Source organism: Homo sapiens, chromosome 9 (assembly GCF_000001405.40).
Source record: "Homo sapiens chromosome 9, GRCh38.p14 Primary Assembly".
Lineage (NCBI taxonomy): Eukaryota > Metazoa > Chordata > Mammalia > Primates > Hominidae > Homo > Homo sapiens.
Window position 1 is genome coordinate 125,299,437 of NC_000009.12, and position 12,599 is coordinate 125,312,035.

The window sequence follows — 12,599 nt, forward strand, 5'->3', positions numbered from 1 at the left end:
CATGAGGGCAGGAGTTTAAGACCAGCCTGGCCAAGATGGTGAAACTCCGTCTCTACTAAAAATACAACAATTATCTGGGCATTGTGGTAGGCGCCTGTAATCCCAGCTACTCGGGAGGCTGAGGCAGAGAATTGCTTGAACCCGGGAGGTGGAGGTTGCAGTGGGCCGAGATTGTGCCACTGCACTCCAGCCTGGGCCATAGAGCGAGACTCTGTCTCCTCAAAAGAAAAAAAAAATGTTGTTGTAGAGAGTAAATTATCTGTTCTGCTTTTCTCCTAATATTATTTAATATATAGGTTTCCAGCTGGGTGTGGTGGCTGACACCTGTAATCCTAGCACTTTGGGAGGCCGAGGTGGGTGGATCACGAGGTCAGGAGTTCAAGACCAGCCAGGCCAAGATGATGAAACCCCATCTCTACTAAAAATACAAAAATTAGCGGGGCATGGTGGCATACGCCTGTAATCCCAGCTACTCGGGAGGCTGAGGCAGGAGAATGGCTTGAACCCGGGAGGTGGAGGTTGCAGTGAGCCAAAATCGCACCACTGCACTCTAGCCTGGGTGACAGAGTGAGACTCTGTCTCAAAAGAAAAAAAAAAAAAAAATATATATATATATATATATATATATATATATATATATATATATATATATATATATGTATTTCCATGTTTTGATATTGTATAGCTATTTTTCGGGTTTAGAAACCACATTTTATTGTCTTAATACCTACGAAGAACATTTATTTTATTTTTTTTTTTTTTTGAGTTGGAGTCTCGCTCTGTCCCCCAGGCTGGAGTGCAGTGGCACAATCTCAGCTCACTGCAACCTCTGCCTCCTGGGTTCAAGAGATTCTCCTGCCTCAGCCTCCTGAGTAGCTGGGATTACAGACTTGTGCCACCATGCCTGGCTAATTTTTGTATTTTTAGTAGAGACGGGGTTTCACCATGTTGGTCAGACTGGTCTTGAACTTCTGACCTCGCAGTCTGCCCCCTCGGCCTCCCAAAGTGCTGGGATTATAGGTATGAGCCACCCTGCCTGGCCAAGAACAGTTTTTAACTCTAAGAATATCAGTGCTGTTGAGAATATAAGCCAGATGCAAAAGAATACATACTGTATGATTCTATTTGTATGAAGTTCAAAAAGAGACAGGACTGATCTTTGATGACAGAAATCAGAATAATGGTTACTTTTTGGGCTTGAGAGGGTGGTATTGACTGGGAAAGGGCACGTGAAAGCGTTCTTGGGTTTTTAAAATGTTCCATGTCTTAATCTGAGTGGTGATTACTGGGTGCATGTATGTGTAAAAATTGTTCAAGCTGAACACTTGACATTTGTGCACTTTACTGTATTTTACCTCAATAAAAATGAGTTTAAAAAAAAAAAAGAACAGTGCTGTTGTGGGCATTGTGGTTTTTTCCCCACATCTTTTAGGCTTATTTTATTTGGATTTGTTTCCAGAAGCAAAAAGCCTAGTTAAAGGATGTGATTCTGCAGGTCATTACATACTGGCATGTTGCTGTTGAGAATGGTTGAGCAATATGCTGATATCGACTTCATTTTTATTATTTTTTAGTACTTGAGTATTTGTAAACTTTCTTATGTCCATAAATAAGCATAAGCAGTTTAACTGTAGCTGATTTTTTTTTTTTTCAGACAGGATCTGGCTGTGTCGCCCAGGCTGAAATGCAGTGGTATGATCTTGAGTCACTGCTGTCTCAAGCTCCTGAGCTCAAGCGATTTTCCCACCTCAGCCTCCTGAGTGCTGGGCCTACAGGCACACGCCACCACATCTAGCTAATTTTCATATTTTTTTGTAGAGATGGGGTTTCACCATATTTTCCAGGCTGGTCTTGAACTCCTGGGCTCAAGTGATCCTCCCACCTTGGCCTCCCAAAGTCTGGGATTACAGGTGTGAGCCACTGTGTCCTTCCTGTAGCTAATTTTAATTTAATCCATAAGAGGGCAGCTCTGGACAGTTTTTAGGATCTACAAACTGATAATTTTCTTTCTTTCTTTCTTTTTTTTTTTCCAGACAGAGTCTTGCTTTGTTGGCCAGGGTGGAGTGCGGTGGCATGATTGCAGCTCACTGCAACCTCTACCTTCTGGGTTCAAGTGATTCTCCTGCCTCAATTTTCCAAGTAGCTGGGATTATAGGTGCCTGCCACCATGCCTGGCTAATTTTTGTATTTTTAGAAGAAATGGGAGTTTCGCCGTGTTGGCCAGGCTGGTCTCGACCTCCTGGCCTCAAGTGATTTGCCCGCCTCGGCCTCACAAAGTGCTGGGATTACAGGTCTGAGCCACCGCACCCAGCCCCAATACTTTTCATTGATTCTGATTTGATAAGAGGAAATTGTCCTTTGTACTTTTTAGTTTTGTTGTCCTTTACTCATTGAGTTGCTGTTAGTTTAAAAAATTTTAGCAATTCAGAGTGACCTCATTGTTGGGACCATAATCAACTCACATATCCATGTTTGGATATAGTATATGTGTTATTATTATTAATACTATTATTTTGCTTGTTTGCTCTTTTTTTTTTTTTTTTTAGTGCTGAAGCTTCCCCTGCTGAATGTTGCCAACATGCCAAAATTTTGGAAGATACACAATTTGTTGATGGGTATAAGCAATTGGGATTTCAGGAGACTGCTTATGGAGAATTCTTGAGTCGATTGAGGGAAAATCCTCGTCTTATTGCCTCCTCTTTGGTTGCTGGAGAGAAACTTAATCAGGAGAACACACAAAGTGTTATTTACACAGTTTTTACCTCCCTGTATGGCAATTGCATCATGCAAGAAGATGAAAGCTACCTCCTTCAGGTTTTGCGATACTTGATTGAATTTGAACTTAAAGAAAGTGACAACCCTAGGCGACTTTTGAGGAGAGGAACTTGTGCCTTCAGCATCTTATTTAAACTTTTTTCTGAAGGACTGTTTTCTGCCAAACTTTTCCTCACAGCCACTTTACATGAGCCAATTATGCAACTGCTTGTTGAAGATGAAGATCACCTGGAAACAGATCCAAACAAGCTAATTGAGAGGTTCTCTCCATCTCAGCAGGAAAAACTCTTTGGAGAGAAGGGCTCAGATAGATTCAGGCAAAAAGTTCAAGAAATGGTGGAGTCCAATGAAGCAAAGCTAGTGGCTTTGGTGAACAAATTTATTGGTTATCTCAAACAGAACACATATTGTTTTCCACATAGTTTAAGGTGGATCGTGTCTCAGATGTACAAAACCCTCTCCTGTGTAGATAGGCTGGAAGTTGGGGAGGTCAGGGCAATGTGTACTGATCTCCTGTTGGCCTGCTTCATTTGTCCTGCAGTTGTCAATCCAGAACAATATGGAATAATTTCCGATGCTCCTATTAATGAAGTAGCACGATTTAATCTGATGCAGGTATGCTTTTGCTATTATTATTAACGTGGCATTTAGTTTAAAATTCAGTTGATTGGGCTGTGGGGGTGGGAACAAATAATACGATGACAGTATTTGTATATTCTTACAACTTTTTCTCAACCAGTCCTAAGTATTTGCATCTTATTAAATAAAAGCAGTAATACTGGGATTTAAAATTATTGCGGTCACAAAACATTTTGTCTTTGTCTGTTTTTTGAGACAGGGTCTCACTCTGTTGCCCAGGCTGGAGTGCAGTGGCGCAATCTCAGCTCACTGCAACCTCCGCCTCCCGGGTTCAAGCAATTCTCCTGCTTCAGCCTCCTGAGTAGCTGGGATTACAGGCGCACACCACCGCCCTGGCTAATTTTTGTATTTTTAGCCATGGGGTTAAAATTTAGGTCAGGCTGGTCTTAAACTCCTGACCTCAGATGATCCGCCCACCTCGGCTTCCCAAAGTGCTGGGATTACAGGCGTGAGCCACCACTCCTGGCCTTGGGTGATTGTTAAAAAATGATTAGCTCAAGCTGGGTGTGGTGGCTCTCACCTGTAATCCCAGCACTTTGGGAGGCCAAGGTGGGTAGATCGTTTGACATCAGGAATTTGAGACCAGCCTCAGCAACATAGTGAGACCCCCAACTGCCCCATATCTATTAAAAAAAAAAAAAATTGGCCGGGTGCGGTGGCTTACGCCTGTAATCCCAGCACTTTGGGAGGCCGAGGCGGGCGGATCACCTGATGTCCAGAGTTTGAGACCAACCTGACCAACATGGAGAAACCCCATCTCTACTAAAAATACAAAATTAGCCAGGTGTGGTGTCACATGCCTGTAATCCCAGTTACTTGGGAGGCTGAGGCAGGAGAATTGCTTGAACCCGGGAGACAGAGGTTGCGATGAGCTGAGATTGCACCGTTGCACTCCAGCCTGGGCAACAAGAGCGAAACTCCGTCTCAAAAAAAAAAAAAAAATCAGAAAAAATGATTAGCTGTTTTTAATGATCAGTTATATCACCTTGGGATGTTTAGCAATTCACTGTATAGAAATGCCTGAAATAAAATTTTTAACTTTTTTTAATGTTTATAAATTTAAAAAAATTATAATATGGAACACTTCACAAATTTGTGTGTCATCCTTGCACAGGTGCCATGCTAATCTTCTCTGTAGAGTTCCAATTTTAGTATATGTGCTTCTGAAGCGAGCACAAAATTTTTGACATGAAACAGTAGGTTTTTTTTTGTTTGTCTGTTTGTTTTGAGATAGTCTCACTCTGTCACCCAGGCTGGAGTACAGTGGTGCCATCTTAGCTCTCTGTAGCCTTTGAACTCCTGAGCTCAAGTGACCCTTCTGCCTCACCCTCCTGAGTAGCTGGGACTACAGGTGTGTACCAGCACACCTCGCTCATTTAAAAAATGTTTTTGTAGAGACAGGGTCTTGCTTTGTTGTCCAGGCTGGTCTTGAACTCCTGGCCTCAGGTAATCCTCCTATTTTGGCCTCTCAAAGTGCTGGGATCATAGGCGTAAGCTACTGTGCCTGGCCCATGAAACACTTAAATTTATTCTTATGGTAGATAATGTATTTGTAGTTTTTTTTGTTTGTTTTTTTTGTCATTCCAGTAGAGATCAAATTACATATTTTCAGAATCAGTAAAAAGGGGGCTTGTCCCAGATATTAAGAAGAGGATGTTGTAATAACTTTCATCATTAGCCTTTAAAAAGAGTGCAGTAACAAATTTTGCCAGTAAGGTACTTGTTCTATGAATTAGTATTTACTTTATCAAACCAGCTTATGTTAGGAATCATTTGCTTTTAAATCTAGGGAAAAAATTATACCTTGATTGCTTTGTGAACGCTATAAGGTAATGTTCTTAATATTAACTTAAGGCAATTTAATGAATGAGTCAGCTTTTACAAATTAATTTAAAAAGCTCTAAACAAATGAAAAGTACAATGTCAGAAACAAATGTATTGTGCTTTTTTTCCCTAATGTTGATATCTTATGTGTTAAAGAGAAATTAAAGCAAAAATTTATACTTTCTCTAACTCTTAATCTAAAAATAGTAAAAGCTGACATAAGGTACACATTTTTTGGGGGATACTATTTCATATGCCTGGTCAGGTGATATGAATAGTATTATGAAACAGATTTTTAGAACAGAATAGACGTGCTTGCTTTCATAGAGACGTATTTGTGAGTATCTGTCTGTAGCTTATGTCTCCCTACCACTGCTTTGGGTTGCAGGTAGGCCGCCTTTTGCAGCAGTTAGCAATGACTGGCTCTGAAGAGGGAGATCCCCGAACAAAGAGCAGCCTTGGAAAGTTTGACAAAGTAAGAATAAATATGATTTATAGAAAATTCTGAAGTATTAGTGAGCCTAACTGTTCTCTTTATTAAATCTTGTCCTTAGGTGATATCTAAATTAAATGTTCTTTTAATTAGCTACAGTATTGGATCAGCAGCATTTAAAGATGATTAATTCCCACAGATGTATTGAGGAGATGCCGTCGTAAGAGAATCAAAGAGCTGTTAAGATTATTTTATTTTAAAAAGTTTTTTTTTTTTTTTTTTTTGAGATGGAGTCTCGCTCCGTCGCCCAGGCGGAGTGCAGTGGCATGATCTTGGCTCACTGCAACCTCTGCCTCCGGGTTCAAGCAACTCTCTGCCTCAGCCTCCCCAGTAACTGGGATCACAGGTGCCTGCCACTACACCCGGCTAATTTTTGTATTTTTAGTAGAGACGGGGTTTCACCTTCTTGGCCAGGCTGGTCTTGAACTCATGGCCTCGTGATCCACCTGCCTCGGCCTCCCAAAGTGCTAGGATTACAGGCGTGAGCCACCGCGCCTGGCCAACTTTTAAATTTTCGAGTCAGTGTCTCACTCTGTTGCCCAGGCTGGAGTGCAGTGGTGTGATCATGGCTCAAACTCCTGGGCTCATGCAGTCCTTGCACCTTAGCCTCCCAAGTACCTGGGCTATAGGGGCACACCACCATGCCCGGCTAAGTGTTTTTATTGTTATAGAGACGAGGTCTTGTTATGTTGCCCAGACTGGTCTTGACTCCTGGCCTCAAGTGATCCTCCTGCCTCAGCATTCCAGCGTGCTAGGATTACAGATGTCAGCCACCATGCCTGGTCGATAATTGTTTAATTTTAAGTGTAGTTTATAAGTTAACATCTATGACATTGTTCAATTAATATAGTTAAATAAAATTTTAATCAGTCTTACTTTGATTAAGCTGTACATTCAACCAATGAAAATTCAAGGATATTTGAGTAAAATTTCCCTTCCACGTCTCATCTCTAGTCTTCATTCCCTGCCCCCACAAAACATTCTTTTTTTTTTTGAGACAGAGTTTCCTTCTTGTCACAGAGGTTCGCTGTTGTCACCCAGGCTGGAGTGCAGTGGCGTGATCTCGGCTCACTGTTAACTCTGCCTCCCAGGTTCAAGCAATTCTCCTGCCTCAGCCTCCGAGTAGCTGGGATTATAGGCGTGAGCCACCACGCCTGGCCCCCAAAAGATTCTTGATGTTATTAGGTTGTTTTTCCTTCTAGAGGTCCATATGTTTACAGGCAAATTCCTACGTACACTATATACTTCCAACCATCCCTTCCTTTCCCTTTCAGAAATAGTAGCACAATGTGTATACTGTTCTGTGTTGTGTTATGTTTGTCTCCAACATCTTATTGTTATTTTCTTTTTTTTTTGAGACAGGGTCTCACTTTGTCACCCAGTGATGCCATCTCAGCTCACTGCAGCCTCGACCTCCCTGGCGCAAGCAGTCCTCCCACCTCAGCTTCCCAAGTAGCTGGGACTGCAGGTGCGCGCCACCACACCTGGCTAATTTTGGTATTTTTCATAGAGACAAGGTTTTGCCCTGTTGCCCCAAGTGGTTTTGAACTTCCGAGCTCAAGCAGTCCACCCACCTTGGCCTCCCAAAGTGCTGGGATTGCAGGCATGCACTACCACACCCAGCTCCAAGATCTTAGACTATATCAGTACAAAAAGAGTTTAATTTTTTTAGGTTGGGTGCAGTGGCTCATGCTGGTAATCCTAGTGCTGAGCGCACTTTGGGAAGCTGAGGTGGACGGATCACTTGAACTCAGAAGTTTGAGACCAGTCTGGGCAACATGGTGAAACCCCATCTCTACAAAAAATACAAAAATTAGGTCAGGCGGGGTGGCTCACATTTGTATTTTTGGCACTTTGGGAGGCCGAGGCGGGTGGATCACCTGAGGTCAGGAGTTCAAGACCAGCCTGTCCAACATGGCAAAACCCCATCTCTACTAAATATACAAAAATTAGCCGGGCATGGTCGTGGCACCTATAATCCCAGCTACTCGGGAGGCTGAGGCAGGAGAATCACAGTGGGGGAGGAGGTGTGCAGAGGTTGCAGTGAGCTGAGATGGTGCTATTTCATTCCAGCCTGGGTAAAAGAGTGAAACTTTGTCTCAAAAAAAAAAAAAAAAATTCAACATCTTAAAAAAATATGATTTTTAAGATGTTTAAATTTTTTCATGCTTGTCCACCTTAATGAGAAATTTCGTTCCAGTATTTTAAAGGGAAATGTTTCACTGTTTTTTTCCTGTTTTAACAGAGCTGTGTTGCCGCTTTCCTTGATGTTGTGATTGGGGGCCGTGCAGTGGAGACCCCTCCATTGTCTTCCGTCAATCTTCTGGAAGGATTGAGCAGAACTGTGGTTTATATAACCTACAGTCAGCTTATTACTCTGGTAATGGCTTCATTGTTTAAGAGAATTTCTCGAAAGTCTTTTAGCTAAGCGTGAGCAAAAACATACATGAGTACATTGTGTGGGAAATACATATTGTATTTGAAAAAGTGATTTCATTAGCTAATGTTCTTTGCTTTTGCCAGGTGAATTTTATGAAGAGTGTGATGTCTGGAGATCAACTGAGAGAAGATAGAATGGCTCTTGACAATTTATTGGCAAACCTACCCCCGGCCAAGCCAGGAAAAAGTAGCAGTTTAGAAATGACTCCCTACAATACACCTCAGCTATCTCCAGCAACCACTCCAGCAAATAAAAAGAATCGATTACCTATAGGTAAAGAGAATTTCTCGTATTGGAGCTTTCTCTTAAATCTAATATTTCATTAGCCTTTGTTATTGCTGAGTGTTTTGGAACATATGTTTAAGTACTTGGGAAAGTCTTTCTCTTCATGTTTACTGATGGTATTTCAGTTTTTAGAAATCGTATCAGATTAGTTAAGGTTTATCAGTAGTCTTTAGCTTTGCCTACATACTTTTCATAATTAATTGAAGTCATGCTATCCACAGTATACTTTCTTTAAATTTTATTGTCTTTTCTTGAAAAAATTTTGGAAATGTTATAAGTAGTCATCTTTAAAACTATGTAGCCCTCAGCCTGGTGTGGTGGCACGTGCCTGTGGTCCCTGCTACTTGGGAGGCTGAGATGGGGAGATTGCTTGAGCCTGGGAGGTCGAGGCTGCAGTGAACCATGATTGTGCCACTGCACTTCAGCCTGGGTGACCCTGAGTGAGACCCTATCTCAAAAAAAAAAAAAATTATGTAGCCCCCTCCTTTCTACAAAGTTCTAAATAATATAATAAACAATATTATTTTAGAAGTTTCCATCAATAAAGTGGAAAATAATAGTATTTTCTATTATTTTCATTAACAATCAGTCTTTTATCAACTGAGCTAAGATATCTTAATATTACAAAATGAAGCAAAAGTTTCATTTTATTTTTTCAAGTTTGTTTATTTAAGAATTCTATTTAATTAAGCCTTATTTGCTTGGTTAACATTTGCTATCTATCTGTCTATAAAAAAATTAATTGAGCATATACCATGTTCCATACTGTGGGTAGGCACTTTATAAATGTTGTTTCATTTAATCCCCACAGAAGTCCTGTGAGAGTGGATGTGTCTTGCACATGAGGCACTGTGATAGACACTGGATACAAAGACCATTAGGACCTGCCCTTACTGTCAAGTTGGCTGTTGATAGTTTAGTTAGGGAGAGCAAGAAGAGACTAGTACCCTTCAGCATACTAAGCGTTCTGAGGAGATAAATATGAGGGTTATGGTGACACCTAACTTAGCCAAAATGGTAGTGGTATCAGGAGAAGATCTTGGAGCAGGTGAAGTCTGTTTGCACTTTGTGATGAATGGGAGTTAGACAAAGTAAACAAGATGAGGAAAAAGTGTTTAAGCCAGGGGAACAGGAGTATTTTAGTGCCTGCCTATTTATAACGAGGAACTCAGCAACACTTAGTGAACATAGTTCTTTTTAATTTATGCATTTTGAAGAGAGGGATTTTACTTTTAAACTTCTGTGAGCTAATTTTTTAAGAACTGCCAGTTTCTTAAAATTAATCTACCTTATATTTAACGTAATGTGGAATTGTATCAACAGGAGTGTGGCATCATACTCTTCAAGTCTTTGTCTTATTGTATCACCCCAAAATGTCAGTTTTCAAAATAAAAAATAGAAAAAGCGATTTTACACTTATTGGTGTTTTTTTTTGTTTGTTTGTTTTTTGTTTTTTTTTGAGATGGAGTCCCCCTCTTGTTGCCCAGGCTGGAGTGCAGTGGCACAATCTTGGCTCACTGCAACCTCTGCCTTCCAGGTTCAAGCGATTCTTCTGCCTCAGCCTCCCCAGTAGCTGGGATTATAGATGCCCACCACCACGCCCGGCTAATTTTTATATTTTTGGTAGAGACAGGGTTTTGCCATGTTGGCCAGGCTGGTCTTGAACTCCTGACCTCAGGTGATCCACCTGCCTCGGCCTCCCAAAGGGCTGGGATTACAGGTGTGAGCCACCGTGCCCGGGCACTTAATGGTTTTTTGTGGGCTATTTGCACTCTGTTCACATGATGAAGTAAATGATTTTTAGTAAATCAGAGATTTTTTCTCCATTGTTGACTGCTATACATTAGTTTTTTCATTTCCCGTTATCCAAAAGTGTCATTAAATATGAGTCTGATGGAAAGTGAATTTCAAATGTATGCCCAATATTATTTTGTATAGTCTTGTTACCTGGCTATTGCATTTATTTCGTATCTTAACAAATCTGTCCATTGTTCAGAGGGTTGATTTTCTTTCTATTTAATGCTTTTGCAACCCAGGACAACAGTTAGCAGCCATCACTGCCTGGGATTCCTCAGCTACCAATATTACCTCTCATATTACAGTAGTAACCCCGTTTGGTGGGTAATAGGCTGTTCTTCCTCTTCTTTTATAATTTTATTTAAGAAATAGTTTATAAAAGTATGCTCCATGTGCATGTTGCTTTTACTTTATGTAAATTGCTACATAAAATTTGATTGCTTGCATTTTTATAAATTATAGTTACAGAGTTTGTTATGATTCATAGATCTGTTTATGAACTTGAATTTAAATTTGCAATTCAGTAAAAGATAGGGTGAGCAAATAAAGGTATGAGTAGGCCTATTTTAGACTTGGAAATTGATGTGTGCTCTGAATTTTCAGATTAAAAGTGATTAATGAACATTAATCAGCATTGTAAAGAAAGGTGATTGTTTATATTTCTGCCTCTGTCTTCAAGTGGGTCAGCTTTCATACAATGTGAAGTTGACTTTTGCTGCTACTATAGTTGTTTTTGCTTTATGTCTGTATTTTTTATTATTTTGTACCAAAACATAATTTCTATTTAGTATTCTGGTTGTACTGAATTTTATTGTCTTCTGAAAGAAAATAGAAACTTTTTTTCTTGATTTTTTTTTTTTTTTTTTTGAGGCGGAGTCTAGCTCTTGTTGCCCAGGCTGGAGTGCAATGGCGTGATCTCGGCTCACCGCAACCTCTGCCTCCTGGGTTCAAGCCATTCTCCTGCCTCAGCCTCCCAAGTAGATGGGATCACAGGCGTGTGCCACCACGCCAGCTAATTTTGTATTTTTAGTAGAGATGGGTTTTCTCCATGTTGGTCAGGCTGGACTTGAACTCCCGGCCTCAGGAGATCCACCCACCTCAGCCTCCCAAAGTGCTGAGATTACAGGCGTGAGCCACCGCGCCCAGCCTTCTTCTTTTTTTTTTTTTTAGACGGAGTTTCGCTTTTATCGCGCAGGCTGGAGTGCAATACTGCGATCTCGGCTCACTGCAACCTCCGCCTCCCGGGTTCAAGTGATTCTCCTACCTCAGCCTCCCAAGTAGTTGGGATTACAGGTGCCTGCCACCATGCCCGGCTAATTTTTTGTATTTTTAGTAGAGACGGGGTTTCACCATGTTGGCCAGGCTGGTCTCAAACTCCCGACCTCAGGTGATCCACCTGCCTCAGCCTCCCAGAGTGCTAGGATTACAGGTGTGAGCCACTACACCCAGCAATTATTTTAGAAAAAAATATTTTTCATCTGCTTATACACAGGGGAAAGAAACAAAAATAATTGAAGCCTTTATTAATTTATACTGTTTCCAAAGCAGAAAGGACCTCTTCTCCAAACATAAATAAATTTTCTCTCTTTTATCTTTGAAAAGACATTAATGCATTTCAGGGGGGGAAGGTACATTTAAAAACTGATTCTGGGCTGGGCACGGTGGCTCATGCCTGTAATCCCAGCACTTGGGGAAGCCAAGGTGCGTGGATCACCTGAGATCAGGAGTTCAAGACCAGCCTGAGCAACATGGCAAAACCCCGTCTCTACTAAAAGTACAAAATTCACCAAGTGTGGTGGTGTCTGCCTGTAATCCCAGCTACTTGGGAGGCTGAGGCAGGAGAATTGCTTGAACCCAGGAGGCGGTGATCGCAATGAGCCGAGACTGCGCCATTGCACTGTAGCCTGGGCAACAAGAGTGAAACTCCGTCTCAAAAAAACCAACACTGATTCTGGTTTTGTTAACAGTTGCCTAACTTAAAGTATCCTATTTATGTGGCTATTAGGTTTTCATATAAAATTTTCTTTATTGTTTCTTTTTTTTTTTTTGAGATGGAGTCTCACTCTGATGCCCAGGCTGGAGTGCAGTGGTGCAAACTTGGCCCACTTCAGTCTCCGTCTGCCTGGTTCAAGTGATTCTCCTGTCTCAGCCCCCCGAGTAGCTGGGATTACAGGTGCATGTCACCATGCCTGGCTAATTTTTTGTATTTTAGTAGAGATGGGGTTTCACCGTGTTGCCCTGGCTGGTCTCGAACTCCTGAATTCAGGCAATCCACCTGCCTCAGCCTCCCAAAGTGCTAGGATTACAGGAGTAATCCCTCATATGAAATTTTCTAATGCTTGTAAG

At 41.2% G+C, this 12,599-nt stretch overlaps 1 protein-coding gene and 1 pseudogene across 57 annotated transcripts in view; one reads left to right on the forward strand and one right to left on the reverse strand.

Annotated features, from left to right (window-relative positions):
- The window catches only part of GAPVD1 (GTPase activating protein and VPS9 domains 1), a 105,382-nt gene that overhangs the window by 37,611 nt on the left and 55,172 nt on the right, over nt 1-12,599 (forward strand). For 56 of the 57 annotated variants that reach the window (NR_148732.2, NR_148733.2, XM_047423183.1 and 53 more), the window contains 4 exons: nt 2,547-3,390; nt 5,627-5,713; nt 7,977-8,111; nt 8,255-8,444. Coding sequence is in view for 55 of the 57 variants with exons in the window: in XM_047423183.1 (XP_047279139.1) it covers nt 2,547-3,390; nt 5,627-5,713; nt 7,977-8,111; nt 8,255-8,444 (1,256 nt within the window). In the remaining 2 variants the exon portion in view is untranslated. Of the gene's footprint in view, nt 1-2,546; nt 3,391-5,626; nt 5,714-7,976; nt 8,112-8,254; nt 10,882-12,599 lie in introns of those variants that run through there. The other variant, NM_001354293.2, reaches the window with a different exon arrangement.
- Nucleotides 4,484-4,590, reverse strand: RNU6-1020P (RNA, U6 small nuclear 1020, pseudogene; annotated as a pseudogene).